We start from the raw sequence: 26220 nt of genomic DNA, 5'->3' as shown, positions 1-26220 counted from the left end.
GAACCATTCTTCTCCTCAGCATGTGGAAAATAAGAAATGATCAGTGATTCCATACTCTTGGCTCACTGTAAGTTACAAGGGTTATTACAGTAATAATAAGAGTAATAGAGTAATAACTGCCACCACCAGGTATTGTCGTGGCTCTCATATACCAAAAGTCCTCTGAAGTAAGTACTGACATGCTATCCTCATTTTAATTAGGCTGATTCCTTTAACCAAAAGAGTCGTATGAAGATAAGACTAAAAGTCAGGGCCATTTGACTAAAAAAGCCCCTGTTTTTCCATTTTGGTATTTTGTACAAGGAACAATACCTGGAAAGGTGAAATACAATTTTTCATATACAAAGCCAGAAAATAGGTAGTTTGTCTTCAGTGCCACTGATTTGTCACAAGCTCATGCTTACACCACAAAATCTGAGCTCAGAAATAGATCTGACAAACCCTTTGGCAGTAGCAATTTAAATTTCATAAATAGACCTGTTTGGCTTAGAATAAGAGTATTTGTGAAGAATATCATCCCCCAAAACTGGTGTCAACAGTAATTTAATTGAGAAATTTGTCATTTCTAAAAATTATCAGTTAAAAATATTTCCCTTAAAAATATTGCCAGTATTTGACTTAATACCTAAATGAACAATTCTCTAGGGCTTATTAAAGCTTAAAAACTTAACAATGTGTGCTGGAGTTAAAATCATGTCAGATCTTGCAATATCAATTCAAAACAAGTTTGTTTGATTCCGTTCATATATTGGATCTCCTATCATATCAGGAAATCCTTGTAAGCCCATAATGCTTACAGAAGCAGATGACAAGCTATTAAAAACTACAATGTTGCTTAGAAAATTTTTGTATCAGTGAACTGAACAGTTAAGTCATTGATAGTTTCAACAGTGCTTGATTTACTTACTTCCTGGATAGATTTCTTTAACAAGAAATTTGGTTACTTACTATAAATTTGGTTTCTTACTACAAAATAATAAGAAAATACATGATTAACCTATAAAGCATCTGCAAAAACATTTTACATTAATGAGTTCCCTTAGAGAATTTATTTTTTCTGCCAAACTATCATTTAACAGTTCATTAAATATTAAACTTTTATTGAGTGCCAACCACTTTTCAGGCATTCAGGGTATAGAGTACCAACCTTTTGAGGTACTCACATTCTAGTTAAGAGAGCCATCCAACAAACAAACAAACAGTAGTTAAAGTACTAACATTTCTGAACTCAGAATTAGTAACTGGAATGAAATTATTAGTCTCTTCTAAACATTGTCATCCTCAATTTTCTGACCCCCACATAGCTAACAACATAGCATAGTACTACTATATAGATGAAGCTTTACATCTCCAGCTTTAAATTTCATAAGATAACAAATTGCATATGTAATTATTAATAAAAATGGCCTTAATTTTCCACATCTGCTGCAACCCTGGATCAAGTCTTTTACCCCCAAGGACCCTGGTCTCATATCCAAGCCTAGAGACTTCATTCATTAATGGTGAAACCAGCTTTCAATCACCATATGTAATAGGAAGTAATGGCTTCTATGTTAATCAGGAATACCAAGTATGGAAAGTCACTATTTTGTTTCTTCATTTCATTTTTCTTCTCATAAACTTACCTGCTCACAAGTGGCTAATCTAATAACTCTGTTGCTCAATCTCTCATTGTCCCCAAGATCATTCTCTGAGGGAGTTCCAGCAAATAACAAAATGACAAACAGTGAATATCTCCTGGTCTAGTCCCTGGTCCCATGTGCTTTCTTATCTCTGTTTATCTCTTATCTCTCCCCAAGACTATGCTTCCTTAAATAAAAATGTCTCCACAACTGGTGAACTTAAGATGCCATAAATACTCCTAATGTGGAAATATAGTATCTCTGAAGAGCACCAAATGAGTGCCATGCTGCCTCAAATCATCTTTCAAGACAGCAATAGCTGGCCTGACTTTCAGCACTGCCCCTGTTTATATGCATATTTGGAAGAGAGAAAAGACTATTTTAGTTCACAATTGGGTAATGGTATGGTTATCTTCTTTCCTCACTATCAGTAACATTAGAATAGTTATTCTAATTCATTAAAATAACTTAGTACCAGCTGGGGCAGTGGCTCATGCCTGTAATCCCAGCACTTTGAGAAGCCAAGGTGGCTGAATCACTTGAGGTCAGGAGTTTGAGACCATCCTGGCCAACATATCGAAACCCTGTCTCTACTGAAAATATAAAAATTAACTAGGCGTGGTGACATACACCTCTAATCCCAGCTACTTGGGAGGGTGAGGCAGGAGAATTGCTTGAACCCAAGAGGCAGAGGCTACAGTGAGCCAAGATCATGCCACTGCACTTCAGCCTGGGTGACAGAGTGAGACTCCATCTCAAAAAATAAAAATTAAAAAAAAAACTCAACAACTTAGCATGGATTTTTGGGTTGCTTAATGGCTAGGACAGTATACAGACACAAATTTAGAACAAACAGATGATAGTTATAATATTAACATTGTTGCACTAACTGAATCACCTATTTTTGGCAACTATTTCTATTTGATACAGTTCATTAAATATTAAAGTTTTATTGAGTACCAACCATTTTTCAGGCACTCAGGTTATAGAGTATCAACCTTTTGAGGTACTCACATTCTAGTTAAGAGAGCCATGTAAAACAAACAAACAACAACAAAAACAGTACAACAACAGCAAACAGTAGTTAAAGTGCTATTAGGTGCTATAAGAGTTCAAGGCTGTAGAAGTTGAAAAGTGGCAGAGAGCAACTGCCTGGCAGCGTAGGCCATTTCAGCCAATGGGAAATCATCTAAAAAGTATCACTTGAAACATTTATTTTTAATAACTATTAGATTCCCTAAGTAAACATGTACTATTCTTTGGTGGATTATCTGCTAATAAAATTAATAAAAATTAAAATCACTTTCCAATTAGATGTCATTATTTCATTCACATTTAATATTTAAAGGATCTATTTGGCCAGGCGCGGTGGCTCACACCTGTAATCCCAGCACTTTGGGAGGCCGAGACGGGCAGATCACAAGGTCAGGAGATCGAGACCATCCTGGCTAACACGGTGAAACTCCATCTCTACTAAAAATACGAAAAATTAGCTGGGTATGGTAGCACTAGTCTGTAGTCCCAGCTACCTGGGAGGCTGAGGCAGGAGAATCACTTGAACCTGGGAGGCAGAGGTTGTAGTGAGCTGAGATCATGCCACTGCACTCCAGCCTGGGTGACAGAGCAAGAGATTCCATCTCAAAAAAAAAAAAAAAAAAAGAATCTATTCAAATAGGGACCTGTCTACAGACCTCCTTCTTGATCAAAGCATTTTTATTTTTTAATCTTTATCCATGTTCTCTACTGGCCTGCAATGATAGAGTAGGTAAACCACTATATGAATGTGATCCAACTCAGAATTCTTCCCCTTAGTCCACATTGTTTAAAGACTCCTATTAGAGGCAGCCAGGTAGTAGATGATAAGTTGTCTTTCCAGGCACATTTCTAACATGGATTTTAAAATGATTTCTACTATCAAGGCACACAATTTCTTCACTCTACACTGACACAACATTTTGTAATCAAAAGCATTTGAACTTAGGCTGATTTAGTTTATCAAATCTCTAAAGCATAAATAAGAGTCCATATGGTTTCATTTGACTTGAGTATTAAGCCCTGACAATCTTTGAGAGACATAAAATAAATAAGATTCAAAAAACTGCTGTCTCTGCATGGTTTTATACACAATTGTAAGTAAGTAAATGACTAAAATTAGTGACAAGAGATGCAATCACCTTGAAAAAACACCTAATAAATAGCAAAACAATCCACATTACACCTGACTTTGCCACAGACTATCTGTGTGGCTTTTGATGAAGTCTTTGTATCTACTATGTGAGAAATGGATGGACTATTCCCTATCTCTATTCTACCTACTTTAAAGGAAAGAATAAATAAAAGGAATGGAGCCGAACTATATGCTCTCTACAGGATTTCTTTAGGATCAAACATTGTGAAAGCTTATTTAAAATGTCCTTTATAAATTTTCTCTGCCCTTTCATCCCAGGTTGTGAAATTCAGTCCCACTGTAAAATCATTTACAGACATCTGGAAAACCTAATCTATGCCCAGTGTAAGATACCAGGGCAATTAACAATTAAGCTGCTATATGTGAATCATGTGTTCTACGCAGCTACTTTCTGGGCCTTCCTGTGTTACTGTCACAACAATGCCCTGTAAATAATACAGGCATTTGAGAAACTCATTAACTTTTAGAATGAAAAGGTACAGTTTATTATCTCAAATAAATCTACTAGAAAAATCTCAGTGGGAACATGTGTTCATAAGCATATAAAACCACACCAGAATAAGGAATACCTGAAAGAGTACTGCACATCATTCTTCAAAATACTCCCTGCTCAAAAACTATAAATAACATTCTGAAATGAAAACAGCCCTTCACAATGATAATCTAATAGACTTCCAATAATAATAATATACTTATCTATGTCCACATACTATATATAACACATGCACACATGCCATGTCTGTGCATGCAACCAAACTAACTGGCACAAAGCAAACTTTGTAAACAAAAAACGCATTTCAAAAGAACCACTACAAATAGCCCAGAGGAAAAAGAACTCCACAAAGAAAGTCAAGCCAGTGTCAAATGAGAAATTATGGCAAATTAAAGGATATTTTGAGTAATACCTTATGTCGAGCACCAAAAACCACTAAAAAGATGTTTTTCATGTAAAACAAAATAGTGACACTAGTAAGGACATCTGTGTGCAGAGGAATCCATGACAGAAAAAAATGCTTGGATGGTAGAAAAAAAATTATCACATGCTATGCATCTTTTTGAAAGGTAGAGTATTGAAAATAAAACATAAAATATTTTCCTACACTTATACTGTGTCATTCAAGTTGCTGCAACTCAAGACAAATATACAGCAGGAACTGGAAGGAAAGAAAAGGCAATCAGGACAGGACATTCCTTTTTTTTTTTTTTTTTTTTTTTTTAGACAGGGTCTCACTCTGACACCTAGGCTGGAGTGTAGTGGTGTGATCTCAGCTCACTGCGGCCTCGACCTCCTGAACTCAAGTGATCCTCCCACCTCAGCCTCCTGAGTAGCTGGGACTATAGACATGCATCACCATACCCAGCTAATTTTTATTTTTTGTAGAGACAAGGTTTCACTATGTTGTCCAGGCTGGTCTCGAACTCCTGGACTCAAGTGATCCTCCTGCCTTGGCCTCCCAAAGTGCTGGGATTACAGGCATGGGACACCGCGTCCAGCTCCTTTTCATCATATACTTCTTCTTCAATCAAGTGACTGAAGAAGAGAGACATCACCCAGATGAAAACCAAAGGGAGCTGGCAGAAGGGGAGTGTTCTAGCTCGGAAAAGATGATGACCTAGAGAGAACAAGGATGATTTGTGTAACATTTTAAATGACTCAGTTAAGGTAAAGACACACCTTGATTACCAAATCTTTTAGAAGCTACTTCTAAAATCTGATTTTAGCTACCTTTAGGAAGGTGACTCTGCCAGAGAAGATCTGAGGATTCAAAATGAGCTTGGATAAATTCAAGAATGGCTAAGATAAGCTGAGATTAATCCCTATCCTTTACAGTTGACGTCAGAGAGAACAAGTGTGCCCTCATGGCCTCCAGTGGCTGTATATATTTGAAATGCTGTGGGTGTACAGGCCATTTCTGTTTCCATGTTATATGAAATATATCGATATATTATTTATTAATTATAACTCTAATGGCCATATTAGAAAAGCCTACAGGTCGTATATTTCTAATCACCTTATTGCCTCACGACAAAATTCAGCCATGTGATTGTCCTCATCTATACGAGAAAATCTGGATTTACTCTTCATCAAGGCCCTGATAGAATTTTTAATATGTAGTACCAGAACTAGAAATCAACAATTTAGCAAAATTGTTTTGAGTGGCTATTTCCAGAGGTAGGATTAAAAGTAACTTGAATAAAGTCCTGCAACAAGCCCTACACTTCCTAGTAAATGGGATCTGATGTTGAGGTTAAATTGAGAGATTCAATCTGAGGTTAGAAAACTCACTACAACAATAGGTATGTGTATGGCTTCTGCTAATGTGGGATACCTAATAAAAAACAAGGATGGTGAACAGAATACCAAGGGATTTACTGTTGGCTCAATCAATAAAAAGAATTTAAGTTTCACATAGAGAACAGAGTTTCTTAAAGTGCCATTGATTCCATCATTGAAATGAAATTGCAATAGAGCATGCTTTCCTTAAAACCATTACATTTACTTACTAGCTTAAATTAACCAACTCCCTACTTTGATGGAAGTTACCACCTCACTTTCATTATTGGACATAAACTAGTGGTAATAACCTCCCAGAGAAGAACCTCTGTTCACTGACCTGAAGCTAAACATATATACCTGTTAATTGTGCTATTTGGGGCAGAACAGAGGGGATTCTGTGTGTAATTAAAGATAAAATCACTTATACTCATTAAAATTAACCATTTAACTATATTCTCCTCACATACTATAACTATTACTTAATCAGAAAACTACTTCCCAGGCAGTCTATTGACCATATGGCATAGTGGTCTTTTCAGTATTACAGAAATGCTCATTCAAAGCAGGAATGTTTCCCAGGGAAGTGGTGGACCCACATAAAGGGACTTTGGAGGCCCCATGTCCTAATCACCTTTTAGTGTACTGTATATATACAATATATATAAATAACAAATCATATCTCTTCCAAAAATCAAAATTGACTTTTACATTAAAAAAGAATTACCAAGGAATTCGGCAAACCTTACTTCTGGTAGTGGGCTGGCTGGTTTGGTTAGGATTCCTCCTACATAAACAACATTAGGCAGAGTGGGTCTTGGGAATTCCAGTGCTACGTCAGTACACAGCATCCACAGGCTGGACCCATGAACCAAATCATACATGGACTTCTCTGGCAGCAGGTTGTACTTCTGCATTATCCTTTCATATTTGGGAAGAACCAGAAAGCTGACCCCTAATCTGGAAATGAGGTAAACACCGGTATTTTTCATCCTTTGCAGCAAGTTCATGCGGTCTGTGAGGAGTGAGTTAAACTCTGGGACGTATGCTAATGGAGCAGGAGCACCCACTTCAGCAGGATACCAAAGGCCAGTTGAAAATACAGCATATTTAACCCCTAAAAGATGAGCTATCACAAATCCACACATATCATTAGGGTCCACCAGCAGCAGGTCAAATTTTTCTTTCTTCAGACCCTGGATCAGGGCATGGTTGCCAACCATCAGGTCACAGTTCTTAGTATAGTGATCCAGTATGTCAAACAGTTCGATTGCTGTCAATCTCCCAGAGAAAATATTCCGCATCTTGGACTGTAGGAAAGCATCTGAGGTGGTACTGTTAAAGATCCCTGGGTAGCGCTGGAGGCTGTAATGATTAGATGGGGCGATGTCTCTGCCTTCAGAGAGGAGGAACACTGTATGGTGGCCTCTCTCGTGCAAGGCTGAGGCTAGCGTCTTGAAAATGTACATATGGCTTTCAAACATAATTGGCGGCACGATGATGATTTTGGCAGCCTTCGCTATCCCAACAGCACTCCACAGGAGAATGAAATATGGAGTGTAAGACTTCATAGCTGTAATAACAACCAGAAAACAACTTAAAACAAAATACAATGCTCACCATTCAAAACAAGCAATCACAAAGCATTTTTCCCCAAAAATATCTGATCTAATACTTTGTCTAAAAAAAAAATCATGAACAGACACTTCTCAAAAGAAGACATTTATGCAGCCAAAAAACACATGAAAAAATGCTCACCATCACTGGCCATCAGAGAAATGCAAATCAAAACCACAATGAGATATCATCTCACACCAGTTAGAATGGCAATCATTAAAAAGTCAGGAAACAACAGGTGCCGGAGAGGATGTGGAGAAATAGGAACACTTTTACACTGTTGGTGGGACTGTAAACTAGTTCAACCATTGTGCAAGTCAATGTGGCGATTCCTCAGGGATCTAGAACCCAGCCATCCCATTACTGGGTATATACCCAAAGGACTATAAATCATGCTGCTATAAAGACACATGCACACGTATGTTTATTGCGGCACTATTCACAATAGCAAAGACTTGGAACCAACCCAAATGTCCAACAATGATAGACTGGATTAAGAAAATGTGGCACATATACACCATGGAATACTATGCAGCCATAAAAAATGATGAGTTCATGTCCTTTGTAGGGACATGGATGAAATTGGAAATCATCATTCTCAGTAAACCATCGCAAGAACAAAAAACCAAACACCGCATATTCTCACTCATAGGTGGGAATTGAACAATGGGAACACATGGACACAGGAGGGGGAACATCACACTCTGGGGACTGTTGTGGGGTGGGGGGAGGGGGGAGGGATAGCATTGGGATATATACCTAATGCTAGATGACAAGTTAGTGGGCGCAGCACACCAGTATGTCACATGTATACATATGTAACTAACCTGCACATTGTGCACATGTACCCTAAAACTTAAAGTATAATAATAAAAAAAAAGAATGCATTCTATAGTATTATACACTAACATACAAAAAAAATCACTATTAAAAATTATCCTGATATTTGTTCTAATTACCTCTTTATTTTTGAAAGATCAATTATGTTTAAGTATAGAATTGAAAGCAAAGTTGACATAAACTGAAATATATTAAAAATGGATCTGTTTGGGAAGAAAATTGAATCAGTAAACTATTTTCAAACATTTGAAATAACATTTTGATAAGGCTGAATGACACATAATATATCTTTTTGGAAGAATATCTATGAAATATCTATGGAACATCTGTTCATCTTCTAATTGAATGTCAATGTTAATCCCAGGAAGAAGAGCTGACCTTTTTAATTTCCAGGTATATCAGCACGTGTCTCTTATTTAAATCATTTTAATTCAATGGTTACATTTGCAGTTATAATCAAAGCATACCAAAGAAAGATTGTTTTAGAAAATAATTATTTTGAATGGTAGTTTGGTAATTCTGCAGAAAAGACTTTTTTCCAGAGGAAAAATGATCTTTAACATATATTTTCCCTTTACCTAAATACCATAGTTGTCCTAGCAATCTATATTTATGTAATCTATGTCAATTTGCTGATGCATTTCAGGGCATTATGTAAAAGAGAAACTTTTAATAGAAAAGCTCAAGAGGGTTAATGGATCTCAGTAAATACTTATTGAAAAAGGACTGATGAATGATTATGTCTCAGACCACACTTCTATGTTGTACCTTTAACTCAGGTGCAAATGTCAAGTCAGAGGATGCCTGTACACTTGAGGGCCAGTACTTCTCCTACCTTTTCATGTTAACAGATATGTGTAATAAAGTTGTCTTTTATTGTTTTTAGAGATAAATATACTATACGTGGGGACCATATAGTGTGCAAATACACCCACCAACCTATTCAATATAATGAATTCTTAGACTCTAAATTAGACCCCCAAATAGAAAAAAGATCTAAACAATTGCTCATGCAAACTGGACACATTTCAAAAATCTCAAAATAGATTTATACACACATCACCAACACACATATAACCAAATTGATATCTATTTTTACTCCTTAGAATACATTAACCCTCCTATTTGTATAAATTCCCAACATCTAAACGCAGTTTTAACAACTATACCTTCTAAACATTCAAACACTACAAGCAATGTAAAGAAATCAATAGCAGGCAACTAATAGATTCTTCCAATAACAAGATTGAACTCTAAAATACATATATTTCCAGATGCTTTTTTCCTCTCCTACTCTAAGGGAAGTTTCAAACTATTTGAAAGTTGAAATTATACCATTAAGAATAAGTAAAAGTAATGCACATTACAAACATATAATATAAATGTCACTTACATTATTATAAGGCTTTAAAAATAATTAACTTTGGAGAAGATACTGATTCTATAGTAAAGTTGACTACAATTACAAGATCAGTGAAGAAAGAAAATTAAGGAGCTGATCTTAGAAAAACCTTCCAAATGTTTATTCTACTGTACTGCCTCACCTATGTGTCTCTCCAATGTTGCCTTCTCACAAATCTGAAGAAGGAAAAATGAGATATTTTACAAGGAAATATGAACTCCAGGGATAAGACTAATGCCAAAACAGGTAGGTATTCCAGCAGCTACTGCTCACTGCTGTCACTTCTTGCATATTCGAGAGGTGAGTACTTGATGATGGAACAATGGTAGAAAACTGGTCTCTCCACTGGGTTCTGGATCTAGCTGAGCAGACCATAGGTACACTCTGTTCAGTTACAGTTAAAACTACTTTATCTATCATAAATAACTTAAAACAAAAATGATCATAGAGAACAAATGCTTTCACTGTGCTTTTGTTTAATTCTTCCTTTTTAATTTTAATATTTTATTTCAGTAATTACTACAAAGTAAAAAGAAATCACATAATTTTTAATGAACTGCTTATATTTTAGAATAGCATTGTCAAGATATAATTATCTTATATTTTAATATAATTATGTTATTATAATAGCCAATATTATTTATATTAAAGAAACCTGAAAAATACTCAATAGAAAACAAACTAAGCAATACAAATAAAATATGCAGACATATCAAATGCACCATAAACAAATATAATGACAAATGATATCTCAGAAATACAACCTGCAACATACATAATAGATATTTCACTTCCCTAAGTATTCTCCTGATTTCATTTAGTGCAGGAGAGGATTATTACCATCTGCAAATCTTGAAGTTATGTTAAATTCTCAACAACTGGGGATTGGTTAAATACACTGTCATTCATTCATATAATGCAGCCACTAGAAAAATCTTATAAAAAGAATATGGCATAAGATATTCAAGATTAAATGTTGACTGAAAATTAGGATACTAAACATTATAAACATCATGTAGCACTTTGCAAAATATATACATGTGTACACATATGGGAATGATACTTGCCAAAATAGTATTGTTTTTCTCTGGATAGTGTGAATTATAAGAGTTTTAACTTTTCCTTTTATGTATTCACAAAGGAATCCACAGTGCGCATGTGTTACTCTCACTGAAATAAAAATAAATATTATTTTAAAGTAACATATGATGAAAAAATACTTCATTCACAATAACAATAAAGTGTACAATATACCTTTTACATTACCAACATAGAATATTTGTTGCCTGTAACATGGCCAGACTTCCCCTGAAGATATATACACAGGAATATTTTCTAAATGTATAGAAACACTTTTGTTTTCACAAAAGAAAATATTCTAAAAGTTAATCCTTCCCATGTTATAAATAGACTGATACATTTCTTCCAAATCCCACTGGATGATTGTTGGGTTTTGTTCGAAATTTAATCAAAATTATACCTATGTTCATTGGAAAAATATAAAAAGAAGAGAGAATACATTTTTGAAAAAGAAACAGTAATGATTTGGGATATCCATATAAATCTTAAAACATATTTTAAAACCCAATAATTAAAAACTGGAATTAGCCCAAGAATTCTACATGAAATCAATGCATCAGTGTAGGAAGCCTATTGGAATTCCCTGAATAAATATAAGCCTAATAGATGACGAAGGAAGTACCACAAATAGATGAGGAAAGAAAAACTTATTCAATAGTGTTAAAAATTTGCTTTATATTTGAAAAATAAAATCACTATATTTTTTACCTTAAACCTTCCTTAAAGTAAATTGAATAGCACAGTGTTAAAAGTTTTTAGATAAATCCATTAAAAATGTTTAGCTTTAAAGGATTATCTGGAAAGAGAAAAAAATAAGCATAAAGCAAAGCAAACAATTGCTTTTACAAATATTAGATTTAAATGCACAATCATTAATATTTTTGGAATGTTTAGAACATCTGGAGCAAGCAGAGGTTTCCAGTTTAAAATGGCAGATTAAAACAAGTGTTTCCATTCCTTTTCTCCCGAAGCTCCACTGGAAATTTGAGTGAAGAATATAAAAGAAAATAAATACACATGAGTTCTGAAAAGTGGTATGAGGCATTGACAGGGCTACAGTGGAATGACTGAACAAATGAACAAATTAGACTTGTCTCTTATAAAACCGGCAAGGATGTTATTTTTAGTGATAATGCTCAACTCTTGCAAAGGCACAGTGTAGTCTTAAGAAGTTGGTGAAAATGTAAACTGGTGTAAATGTTATGAAATACAACTGGCATATTATTTTATAACACTACAGAGATACCAATACTTATGTAGAAAAATGTCCATTGCATTCATAGCCAACAGCAAACAGCCAGAAACCACTATAAAGCCAACAGTAGATTAATTTAATTACACTATATTTTTATCATGGAAAATTATAGAACTTCAAAAATAATGTTTGAAAATAATTTTAATATCAGAAAATACTTGTAACATAACACTAAGAAGATCAGAAATAAAATTATGTATATGATATATATGTATATATAAAGTGATTATAATGATAACAAAGTAAAGATGAAACTGATAACAATTTTAAGGTTATGGACTTGAACAATTTTCTTTCCTTTTCTTATATTTTTCAGGATTTTCAAAGATTTCTACCAAAAGTAGGTAATTCTACAGCTTTCAGCTGGCACATCCCTGGAGCTGGAGCCTTACTCTCATCCTTCCTTTGGAGTTAAGCATCTTAAAACATCAGTCTCTATTTGCTGGTCTCCACTTACTCCCCAGATGTTTACTGTCAGCCTTTGAATCCACCACAATTCTAACCAAATTCTTACTGTTAAGGGCACTAACGCTTCCCAAAATTCATACAAATGCCCATTTTCCACTTATCTGTTTGGACTTCCATTTAACAGTAGCCACTAGTGATTCTCTCTTTCTCTAAATTCTCTTTTGGCTTCTAGGATACTACTACTATTTGACTACAAGATTCTGGCAGTGGAGTAACATGCTGCCAGAATCTTGAAGAAAATCCAAAATTCAAAGAATGTACAAATATTTGAAGACTCTACACAAACTGCATTATCAGTCTACCCTTTTTTCTTTCTATTAAAAATTATTTCTATGCTTGCTTTCAAGAGAGGAAGCCAAAAGCATTTTAATAGGTGTGTCTACCACTCACCACAGGGAAGTCATTTAACATTTCAGTGTGAATTAATTTGGGTGAAACAGTAAGATATCAGGATATTGGGGTGCACATCCAAAACGTTCATCTGTAAAAGTGATTTCTCCAAGGCCAAAGGAAGGGTTTGTCTGTTTGTTTTGTTTGAGATGGAGTCTTGCTCTGTAGCTCAGGCTAGAGTGCAATGGCACAATCTCAGCTCACTACAACCTTCACCTCCCAGGTTCAAGCAATTCTCCTGCCTCAGCCTCCTGAGTAGCTGGGATTACAGGCACATACCACCGTGCCCAACTAATTTTTGTATTTTTTTTAGTAGAGACAGGGTTTCACCATGTTGGTCAAACTGGTCTCGAACTCCTGACCGTGTGATCTGCCTGCCTCAGCCTACCAAAGTGCTGGGATTACAGGCATGAGCCACCATGCACAGCACAAAGGAAAGGTTTTAAACCCTTAGAGCTCCAGAAAACAAGTTAGATTAGCTACAATGCTTCTGTGCCTAGGTATCAATGGTTCATATATGCTGAAATTTGATACAGGAACACCCCAATATACTACTGAAATATTTTAAAGATGAAAATAGAATTTTATAAATCCCCTGTATTTCCCATTTTTCCAAAGAGACTAAAGCTAAAATACCAGAGTTTAATACCATACATGGGAGCCAAGATGGCCGAATAGGAACAGCTCCAGCCTACAGCTCCCAGCATGAGTGACGCAGAAGACGGGTGATTTCTGCATTTCCAACTGAGGTACTGGGTTCATCTCACTGGGGAGTGTTGGACAGTGGGTGCAGGACAGTGGGTGCAACACACCGAGCATGAGCCGAAGTAGGGTGAGGCATCGCCTCACCTGGGAAGCACAGGGGGTCAGGGAATTCCCTTTCCTAGTCAAAGAAAGGGGTGACAGAAGGCACCTGGAAAATCGGGTCACTCCCACCCTAATACTGCACTTTTCCAACGGTCTTAGCAAACAGCACACCAGGAGATTATATCCCCCGCATGGCTCAGAGGGTCCTACGCCCATGGAGCCTCACTCATTGCTAGCACAGCAGTCTGAGATCAAACTGCAAGGCGGCCATGAGGCTAGGGGAGGGGCGCCCGCCACTGCCGAGGCTTGAGTAGGTAAACAAGGCGGCCGGGAAGCTCGAACTGGGTGGAGCCCACTGCAGCTCAAGGAGGCCTGCCTGCCTCTGTAGACTCCACCTCTGGGGGCAGGGCATAGCCCCAAAAAAGGCAGCAGAAACCTCTGCAGACTTAAATGTCCCTGTCTGACAGCTTTGAAGAGAGTAGTGGTTCTCCCAGAACGCAGCTGGAGATCTGAGAACGGGCAGACTGCCTCCTCAACTGGGTCCCTGACCCCCGACTAGCCTAACTGGGAGGCACCCCCCAGTAAGGGCAGACTGACACCTCACATGGCCAGGTACTCCTCTGAGACAAAACTTCCAGAGGAACAATCAGGCAGCAACATTTGCTGTTCACCAATATCCGCTGTTCTGCAGCCTCTGCTGCCTGATACCCAGGCAAAAAGGGTCTGGAGTACTTCAGTTTGGCATATAGCCAAAAAGACGAAAGACAATTTTTCTCTACCTCTCTAATAGCTTGTTTTAGTCACATAAATAAGTTCTACTTAATGAGAGTGAAACGGAAGCAGAATTGCTATGTGCAATTTCTAATGTATGCCCTTGGAGTTTCACTTTTCACCTTCCTGCCAGCTGGAATGAGACATGGTAATGATTAACATCCTAGACCATACAGGCAGAATTATAAACCAGAAAAGGTGTAACAACAAAGACACTTGGGTCCTGAGACTGCAAAACCATAACACCAGCCCTGCCTGCTTATGCCCAAATTATTGTGTGTGAAGCAACTAAGCTACCTTTCCTAAGTCACGGAAGCCCTAGGGGGACTCAGGATCCTGGTTTGCCTAGAACTGGGTGGGGAGGGGGGAAGTTTCCCAGGATGTGGGATTTTCAGTGCTAAAACTAGGAAAGTCTTGGGCACACGGGGACGAGCTGGTCACCCTATTGCTTTGACTTAACATACAAGTATCAATAAACAGCAGCTGTTTTTAATTGCTACATGCCTTCCCCCTGCATTACCAGCTTTCTAAACATTATCTCATTTCATATTGAGATCACATGAAGGCAAGAAAGTGGCTCCCACTTTACAGATAATAAGACTGAGAGTATAAAAACTTGACAAAGATCTAGTATCTAGTAAATTAATGTACTCATATCCCACCATGTGAAGAGAGAAAAAAAAGAAAGCTTAAAAAAAGTTGTTAACTGTGGACAAACTGGGAAAAACTAAGCTTTATATCTACTTGGTTGTTAAATAGCCCTCGTTTTAAACATGTATCTTTCATCTGTAGGCAATTCTTGGTAATCTTAAGTTATTTATGGTGGCTATTAGCAAGTAAACTACTAAAAGCAAAGAATCCCCTAAAATCACTAGAATGGGAACATACTGATTTGAGGTAGGAGAAGAAAGAATTCAGAAAATTGAGGCCACCTGTTGTTGGTTAAAACTTCCACCTGCCCAAAAAAAAAAAAAAAAAAAAGTCTGGCACCTTTAAGAGTACAATCTGAGTGAAAACCTTACACAGAGAGAACTCAGTTTGGCTGTCAGCAGTTAATAAATATAAGTAACTCTAGATTTTCAAAATCCTCCACATTACTAAATTAATGTTTTTCATTCCATCAGAAAAATTATATTTATTTGTATAGAAGCCCACGGCTTAACTGCAGAAATAAAACTGAAAAATGCTGAATGCAAAGGAAGAAGGAATTTGGTTCCATTTCACAAACTTAATGAAATAAATTAATCCAAAGTTCCCTGTCAGAAGCTTTTGGTCAAAATTTCTAACACAATCACTTTTGCTTTTAAAATATTGCTTTGCCTGATAACAAACTCATTTAAAAGAGCATAAAGAAAAATATTGTGTTACTATTCCATTCCTTAAACTAGTATGCCATCTTATGAAAAATAAGATTAATAGAAATCTCTACGAGTATTACAGAGGCAGACCTTTCTTTACACACATGAAATATGAAAGGAAGAGACCATTAGGAATACCACTCAAAAAATTCAGTTTTGCACCTGGAACATTCATGAGTGCCAAGAGAAATACAAAAGAACCTCTTCTTGAAGGAGAGGTTATAAAGACAGTTGTTGTTGCTGTTGTACCATTCCAAGCTAGTTGCACTTACCACTTCTTCAACACAAGTATCTGCAGTTATCTCTTTTCAGACATCTACAGTACAGGTGGTGAAGCTGTAATGAGAAACTCAACCCTATTCGCTTATCAGTGATAGCTGGCTTAGGCCCACCTGGGGAGTTTCTCTGAAAACATTAAGCAGGAAGGTAAGATAAAAACAAAAATATAGTGAGAAAATAAAAATAAGATAATACGAATATCAACAGACTGCACTCAGTACCTTGTACACAGTATGTATCCAATTAATGCCTGATGATGGTGATTAAATTTAACTATTTAAAACACAAAGATATAATCACCTAATGAAGTTGTTTTCAAATTCTGGCGTCCAGAAGAATCACCTCAAGTACTTACTAAAAATACAGGTTCCAAAGTCACCTCAGCAAATAAGCTGTTATGGAGTCTAGGGAGAAACCCAAGAATCTGCATATTTAGTAAGCAGCTGGGGATATTTATGCAATTCTCCCACCGAACTGACAGATAGGGATCTAGCACTCGTTACTTATGTGCATAAGAGAAATACAGGTAATACAATGAAGGTAATGTGGATCCAACTATCGAGACCTGAATTAAAGCTCAATTATCTTGGGAATTTAGAAAAATATAATGCACATAGCCCCAGATTCCCAGGAACTCAGAACAAACAATTCCAAACAACTTTCTGTTTAAATTTCTATATACAAAGTACCAGCAGTCTCTCAGAAGCACATGACTATTTTTAGTACTTAATAAGTAGTAAACACATATAGTAGTTCCTTTCATTTTCATGTTGTTTAATAGTCAACTTCCCCATTATTACTTAATTAATTAAATTCTAAACTAATTTGAAGTAGTATGTTAGAAAAGCATTATCAAGATCAATTTAGACAGATAATTAAAATAATTGTTAATGTATATATAAAATGTTGAGGTTTTTTGGACATGTATGGTACTTGGTAATCTAAGACTATCTTTTCAGTTAGCTCACAGTTCAAGTAGTTTAAATTACAAAGATATCATTTTAAGTGACACATAATGAAAAGAAAAATAAAATGATTGCAGCATGCATCTATGGATCCCCAAATCAGTACCCTTTGTAATTTAGTCCAAGTCATTTAATTTATGTCCCTAATTTTCTTCACCTGTCAGGTGGGGCTATGAAATTTGATAATTTAAAATATCCCTTACTATTCTAAAACTTACTGGGAAAAAAAGGGTTTAAGAATAGGTTTAATGAGATTGATATCTTTGGTTCATAAAAAGCAGTTAAGATCAAACCAATGAATTCTAAGAAACAAAATGAAAAGAAAAAGAATTTACCTTGATTTTAAATTTTAAGTTATAGAGGATCATTAATGTGAAGACACATTTTATAGGGACACTATTAAAATGTAAATTGTGGTTCAGTAGACGTAGGGTAGGGCCCCATCATACTTATTTATGAAACAAGCTCTCTAGTAATATGGGACTACTGGTGCTTGGAGTGCATTTTGAATAAGCAAGGACTTACAGCAAAACCAGGAGGCTGAATAAAGAGTAATAAAATGATCAATAACATGGTTAAGCAAATCAACAATACCAATAACGTACTGGAAAAGAAAATATTTTTAAATTAAACATAGATGAAAGGACAATTTGCTTAAAATAATAAAAGAACCTAATAGATCTAATGTGCAATTTTTTTAATGGACCTATACGTGGTAGATGGGCCAATCTTTGAACGTATGGCTATAGTCCAACTGCACATAATAATCACCTGGGAAGCTTTGGAAAAATAGAGATGCCTGAAAACCTGCCATCTACAATGTAGTTCAATCAAATCAGAATTTCTGGGGATGAGGCCTAGGACTAAGGGTTTTTGGCTTTTTTAAACCCTCCTCCCCTTTATTCCCTGTGATTAAAAATTAAGAAAATCTAGGCTACACTTGTACAATGTCATAGCAAAGTATACCAAAATAAACAACTAATTCAACCCTGTTTTTTTTTAATAAACTGAGAAATGTGTGGGTTTATCTGAACTAAGAATATTTGTTGATGCCTCAATAACCAATTAGTAAGTAAAATAAGATACGAGTTTAGGTTATAAAACTTACCTGGAAAGCATTTTAAAATCTAAACTAAATTTTTCTTTTGTCCTTAAGATGATCAGAATTTTTTCATTATGTGAGAAAAGTGAATTGATGAGATATCTGGTATCATAGATAAGTGGGTCTCAAACTTCAGCAGGCATCACAATCACCTGGAGGTCTTGTTCAAACACACATGTGGGGCCTGCCCTCATGGTTTCTGATTTTACAGATCTGGGATGAGCCCAAGAATTTCCATTCCTAACAAGTCACCAGGTAACACTGATGCTTCTGTTCCAGAAACCAAATTTAGACAATAAGGATAAAAGTTTGTAATTTTTAAAAAATGCAATTTTCCTTTTTAATAAAGAAAACAGTGGTATTAAAACTTTCGTCTTGATCACATACCTCATTTTAAAAATATATATGTATACATATTTATATATATGTAAATATGTGTCTTCCAAGTATCTATGATTATACAGGTAAGAATCTATGTCTTCCAAGTATCTACAATATATGTCTTCCAAGTATCTATGATTATACAGGTAAGAATGTAAAGTTTTGTGTCTTCTAACATCTGTGTGTGTGTATATATATATATATATATGGATATATACGGCTATCTTATATATAGATATCTAATATATAATATAGATATTATATATATCTAATATCTCTGTGTGTGTGTGTATATATATATATATATATATATATATATATATATATATATATGGATATATATGGCTATGTTATCCTACAGAAAAAGATGTGGGTTTCTATTTCTGAAATTCCCCAAGACTAGCCTGGTACAGTTATCTCCACGCATCTGCAGCATGTGATAAACATTCAGCAAACAATATGGAAATTAATTGTTTTGATTCTGATCCCATCTTTACACAAGTGAGAAAAGTTTCACAAATCATACAACTGAGATTAAGGCTTTACAGTCTAACGTGTATACGTTTTATTTTTAAAAAATACAAAAACAATGATTGACATTTTAAAATGTTTTGTTAGGACTCTTCATAATTCTCTTTTATTGGGATTTTAATTAGTAGAATACAGCAAGTGAATCTGGAGAATATCCAGATCAAACTTTCATCTTCTCCTGCAATGAAACATATTCACATGTAGGAGAAACAGCTTTTCAATACAACATTAGTAGAGATTCTTAAGGCTACAGTAATGTTGTAGAATCACAAAAGATCATGGGATTATTTCCCCCACTAATTAAGATATTCTTTCTTTACTATCACTAGTTTAAATGTATTTTTAACATTTATATTAAGAGTCACAAAATAAATTTTCATGTAATCTCTCAAACATATTTTCAGGACAAAACTGGCCAAATATAAACAAGCAAATCAGAACAAGAAACAAAACTCTAGGTATTTTCCTATTCAATTCCTTGAAGGTCTTCACAGGTGAACAAATAACAAACTTCCCTATTTTATAAAATTCTACCATCATCACTAGGACAAGGTTGTATTAGATAGGTTGAGTATTAGATAAAAAACAGAAGTTATCTTAATCCCCAGAAGTGGAAAAATTTTGATAGTTTCTGCAGAAAAACAGAATGAATTTCTTTGATGTTCCTTTACTAACAGGTAAGAATGTATAATTTTGTGTCTTCTAAGTATCTATGATTATAACCGATATTCACCACAATGAGGCAAGTCCAGAGAAAGTCTTTTGTATATCATTGCCATTGTCTTGTGAAAATAAGATAAATATATTTAAACATTGACACAATATATTTGTACCAAAATGATATCAAAATTTTAAAAACCATATATTTTCATTAAATAAATGAGTCACAATTTAAAAACTAAAGATAGGTGATTTCAAACCCCTCATTTGTAGAGAAAGGGGCAAAGTCTCTATGGGGTGGTTGTCTTTGCATTACACAGCTAGTTCAGTTATTCGCTGGCAGAGTCGGAACCAGCATTCAGGTTTCCTAGGTCCTAATCCAGCATCTTCTATTTGTACCATATAAACACCCTCCAAAGTTGTCACTGCCATATGTCAGATAATAGTTTGACTTTTTATTGAATTCTGTGATACATGAATCAAAATAGCAGTCTTTGTAAAGCCTTGGTCATGACTTTATTAAACTTTTATACTGTAAAGCCTTAGATACTTAGACCATGAAAAAATTACAATATATTTTGGCTCTAAGACAGAAGATTTCTAGCATATATTAGGTTACTTATTAAATGAATGACTGAATTAATTCTAAATGTTACAAAATACTCACTGTACAGGCCACCAGGAAATCAACATGTCTGGTTCAAAATGTCTCCCCTTCAGTCTCCCTTTGGATGGAGTAGTAGGGGTAGAATAAGGACAGGACTGCATTTAAGTAGTATCAAAATAAGCTACATCATTTTTGCTGGCAAAAATAATGGTCAGAAAGTATAAAGCATTTAAAGCCCATATAGAGGCTGGACAAACAACCAAATCCTACTGATGGGCAGATGCCTATCCCATCTCCACTCTATCCAATCCCTCCCCCACACAAATTTGTAAAGCCAATCACTAGGATCCCTCCTCTGAATTCCCTACAAGAGGCAGAAAAATTATCTCCAGAAAAGTGAAAGGGAGAGAAAAAAAGCAAGCAGAAAGCAGGACAGCCAGAGGACCTTGTTTCTGTATATTGCACATAGTTTAGAAGTTTGAAGAAAAAGTATATTCCAAAGCATATATTCAGATAAAGTCTAACTGATTAAAAGAATATAATGACCTCTCAAATGCCTTCAAGAATTATTTAAAACTGGCAAATTAAACAGACAAGCATTACTTCTGATTAATAATCTTACCTAGCTTATCTCTCTTTTCTTTTTACTTTAGCTGAGGAATTTTCTTAAAATATATTCTTTTTTTAAGAGACAAGGTCTCACTATGTTGCCCAGGCTGGAGTGCAATGGCTATTCATAGGCACGATCTCCACAGCACACTACAGCCTGAGCCTCAACTCCTGACCTCAAGCAATCCTCCCATCTCAGCCACCAGAGTAGCTGGACCTCAGACCTGCACCACTTCACCTGGCTTAAAATATATTCCTATTCCTATTGCTCTGCTCAGAGGGAGATGGAAAGGGAGATATTCTGACCAGAAGAATTCAGCAATTATCAAAGGAGGAAATAGGCACAAAGAATGGAAAAAAGAATTATTCCTGGGCTGGTGCTTTGATTTAATTGTTATAAAAGGTCTATGGGGAAGTGGGGAGTTGGACAATTAGAATGCTTCCTAAGTTATCTTCCTCATGCATATAATCATTATTTTCTCCAACTATGGTTTCATGACATTAGGCATACTTACATTGAAATGTAAATACAAAATAAAAACTAAATACAGTTAATTATCACCGTGATTATTTTCTTTTATTAGCATTACCTAGAATTAGTTGTGAATGCACATCCACCTATAGAAGCCCCAGGTAAATTTAAAAAAGAAAACCCACTAAACCATTATAATTTTATAGTAGAGTTCCATGTAACTATTATATAATCTTTCTATATATCAAACTTTTTTTTCCATTGTGACTAAATAATGTAGCAATCCCTATAAGATATGTTGTTCCTATATAGAACACCTTGTTAAAAAAAAATAGGGGAATGTTTCAAGTTTGAATGATGCAGTTCTGGAAAAAACAACAGGAAAAAATCAAAATACGTATAGAAAATTAGGAAACTTACCCTTATTGCCTCATGACAAACTAAAGATACCATTCAATCATGTTTGAATATCTTCTCTCTGATCAATAGTGTTTGTCCAAGGTGTATGAGGAGACAAGAGACTCCACCCTCTAAGAGTTCATACTCTCCTTAGAGGGAGAATGAAACCTAATTGCTAACATCAATATATGTACAAATCAAAGTCACAGAAAAGTGACAGAGACTGGGAAGCCACAGTCTGAGGTGGGACTTGAGTGTCAAAACCTTGGGTGAGAATTTGGAAGTGCAGAAGAAAAAAAAGGCAGGACATCTCAAGCGGGGGGATATCCTGAAATGAATGCCCCAGTGGGTAAACAGGATAGAATCCTATTGAGCAATATGAGAAAATAAATAAGTCTGATCAGAAAGCAGCTAGACAATAGACAGCCTCGAAAGCCATGCTAAAAATTTTGGATCCCCATGTGAAAATAAACGCATAGTCAAATCACACTCAAAGAAGGCAAGTGGGTCAGTAAGGACAAGTGACTGATGGTTGTGGGCAGTAGGAGGTGATGGAAGGCCCAGGTAATGGTGAAAATGAGTCATTTAGTACCACTGGTGAAGAAGTGATGTGGGACTACACCAAGACATCAGGAGGTGAATGGAAAGACTCAGGCAAGGGAAGAAGGTCTTCATGAAGGACATAGTGATCAATTAGGAATAGATTAGATATAAAGGGTAAAAAAGTGAATTCCACAACACCAAAATCTGTCTTCGAAGACTGAGGCAAATGGGGATGTCAGATCTGAGTTAGGAAGTTGAGCTGGGAACTCTAAGCTCTTGAGAGTATAGAAGAAATCACAATTAGAAATACAGCTTTTTGAATCATCTATATATAAATAAAAATCCAGTCTATGGGCATGAATAACTACACCAAAGGAGTGAGAATAGAGAAGAGGAGAGGTGCTGGGACAAAAGATGTTAATAAAAATGCCAGGAAGGAAGAAGAGGCACAACCAAAGATCAGATGGGGAGTTACCATTACAGATGAGAAAGGAGAAGGAACTCTCAAGGAGCAGGGAAGAAGCATGGAGCAAAGGAGGAGATTACTGAGGACTACAGAAAGACTACTTAAAGGTAATTTCAGTGGGATCAAGGTTCAGCATTCCCAGAACATGAGGCAGGTGGTGAGCTATAGTTCCAAAACTTGTTCTAGGCAAGAAGCTTTAGTTTTAACATCAAATTCCCCAGACTGGATTGTCATTTTGACTTCCAAAGGTTACTTGGGACTCTACCAAGTTATGAGCTGTAAAATGCTACTACCTATAGGGCTATGCTTCAGGGGCAGAATGAGAACTAAACAGTAGAAATATATGTGTAATAGATTTGCAAACTACAATAAAGCTGTATGACTCTAACACTTTACTAGGGGAAACCAAGTATTATCTCTAATATAAGATTAGTATCAGAGATGGTTAACTATAACATTTTCCCACCAATATTCCTAGTAAACTTCAGCCCTGCCCTGGCAAGACGCTCCCTATTTTGGACATTGAGGATCACAGGCATGTGGGGGTTTTTTGTTTGTTTTAATTAAATTCATTCTCAGATCAATACCATGGTTTCCTGCTATAACACACCCAGTTTACATAAAGCCCAGATATGACACTGAAACACTATTCTTTCCTTCTTGAGCTTATTTTGCCTCCATTGTTTTTCCCTTCCTTCTCCCCATCTTGTCCTTATCCCCTGCTTCTAAACTACTTCCCCTTCCAGTTTCTCTCTTACTTTATCTCCATTAAGATACATTCTCACAAATGTCTACAAAGTATTTTCAAAACCAACAGTCAGTGATTAGCATGAATATTACTTAAAACAGTTTTACTCTTGGCCTTTATCCATACATTTCACCGTTCTTCCCTCCTTTTGAATAGACAGGCAAACCTGTTTGACTAGTTTTCCCCTAAGAGCTACTCCCCAGATTGGCTTGGTGAGAACAACTCAATAGGGACAGCAGCACAAATGCAAAATCTATGTAAAACACAAAGGCCTTCTTCATAAAGAGAACCCAGAGGAAGGGCCTGCTGTGGAGCCCCTAGACTAACTGCCTAGTCTTAGGCCTAAGACTAACTGCCTAGTCTTAGAACAGCTCTCTCAAAGCAGGAAGACACCACCACTGAATCACTCATTCCGTTGCTAGTAAAAAATTTTTATTTAAGTAAAATTGAATTCTTCCTGTTGATGCCTCTCCTCTGAATAATGAATATTATGAGGATGAGGGAGAATCAGATTAAGACTTAAGTGTAGAAGTTTAAAAAATTCCAACAGATGAGACTATATTCAAGATGTGTTACAGAAGTGTGTCCAAGTTTTTTGTTGTTGTTGTTGTTGTGTGTGTATCTGCTTAATTAAACCCATTAAAAATTCTGAATTTGCAAAACAGGTATTAATAAAATCAGAATAGGATTTTTTCTATGGTAAATTGTATGTTGATATTGCTTTAAATTTCAAAGTCCCTGAGTATATTTAATATATAATGTGCTTTAATGTCACTAACCACAATTTTTTTCTGTAAACTATTTCTAACATACAGAAAAATATAAAGATTAACATAACAAACATCTGTATGCCCATCACTTAATATTTAAGAAGTGTTAAATGTTTGCCCTATTTTCTTATTCTATAAATATGACTCAACTTATAAAAGCTGAGTTTATATACAGCTTTTCAAGAACCTATTACAGAACATATAGCATATTTGCACACTTGATTCTACTTTGTAAATTCATGTGCACATTATTTAAACTTGATGTTTCACTTGGAAGAAAATTAGCCCCACAGTTTTTACTCATTAAAGCAAGTTATAGCTTAATGTAATAACTAAAAAGTCATGATTTGGTGTCTTGAAATATTTTGAGTATTAAATTTCTTCAAAACAATTAAAAAGTACAAAATGATTTCACAAATATTTTGTTATATAATATTCCCAAATCAAGCACATATTTACCAAATCAGATACGAATGTAAATTTCTTTAATGAACTGGATTCCTTGCAGATGCATTTCTGTTATTTATATCAAGTCAATGGAAATAAATTATATCTTCAAAATAAAATCAATATAGTGATTATTCCAAATTAACAATTCAGATAAATAGTACAATGCTACAAGGAAACAGTATCTCTGAAATGTTCCTACTATACATCTTTCCATCTAATCTAAATGTTTTAATATTTACATAAATGTCCATCCAGAGAATACGAACTGACCTACACTGTCCTAGATGCCCTGCCATTCATAAACCAAAGGTACCATTTTTATTTTGGCTATGCACTCCTAAACACTTACCTAAGTGTGGCATTCTGTATAAGTCAATTTCAACTTGGCATCTGTTATCTCTGTAAGGGAGTGCTGAGCATGACAATATATAGTCTAAAACTGACTTGGTGAATATACAACATGGAACTAGAAGAAATCCTAAACTGAAAATCACCTGCTTAGATTACTATGCTTTACAAATAACAGGGCCATAAATCGTGAAGGACTAAGCACAGTGGGAAAAAAAAAAGCACTGAAACACAACTGCAAAATAGAGAAGTGCTGAAAACGAAAAGTATGGCTAGCGATTTTCAGGTAAAGAATATGATTAAATATTAAAACTACAGATATAAAATTCATTTCATCTTAAAAATATGGAATATCTAATTTTGTTTTATTCAACAAACATGTATTGGGACAACAAATATTTATTATATGCCTTATAACCAATTAGTAAACAATATGTACTATGTGCAATTGTTGGTTGACTTCCAAACCACTGCATAGATGTAAACATTTTCTCAAATTATGCAGTAATTACAGAGTAAAAAACTTATACACATATTAAAATAGAAATCTAATTTAAAATGTTTATTAATCTCTAATATAAAGCATCACTTCATCCAAACAGAAAATCCTAGGAAAAAAGTAGGTATATTTAAATATTACCATAGTAGTCTTAATTGGGGGAAAAAAAAAAAAAAAGCAAACAAACCTCTACAAATCAGTCCTTCCCCTATTACACAGGCTAATAATTATTTTTCACATGTTGATTTTTAAGACCCTATGAGGTATAGAGGTGCCTTTGGAATCATCAAATATTAAATTACATTTTGTTAAATTTTG

The 26220-nt window shown here is 35.3% G+C and overlaps 1 protein-coding gene across 9 annotated transcripts in view; it reads right to left on the bottom strand.

Annotated features, from left to right (window-relative positions):
* Positions 1-26220, bottom strand: part of UGT8 (UDP glycosyltransferase 8) — a 79824-nt gene that overhangs the window by 47689 nt on the left and 5915 nt on the right. For 4 of the 9 annotated variants that reach the window (XM_047416134.1, NM_001322112.2, XM_047416135.1 and 1 more), the window contains exons 2-3: positions 11012-11114; positions 6835-7658 (exon numbers count right to left, since the gene is read on the bottom strand). In XM_047416134.1, the coding sequence (XP_047272090.1) occupies positions 6835-7656 (822 nt within the window). In that variant the 5' untranslated portion in view covers positions 7657-7658; positions 11012-11114. Of the gene's footprint in view, positions 1-6834; positions 8171-11011; positions 11115-26220 lie in introns of those variants that run through there. The other 5 variants (NM_001322113.2, NM_001128174.3, NM_001322114.2 and 2 more) reach the window with 2 other exon arrangements.

This window comes from Homo sapiens, chromosome 4 (assembly GCF_000001405.40).
Source record: "Homo sapiens chromosome 4, GRCh38.p14 Primary Assembly".
Classification (NCBI taxonomy): Eukaryota; Metazoa; Chordata; class Mammalia; order Primates; family Hominidae; genus Homo; species Homo sapiens.
This window is presented reverse-complemented; position numbering and strand designations above follow the sequence as displayed.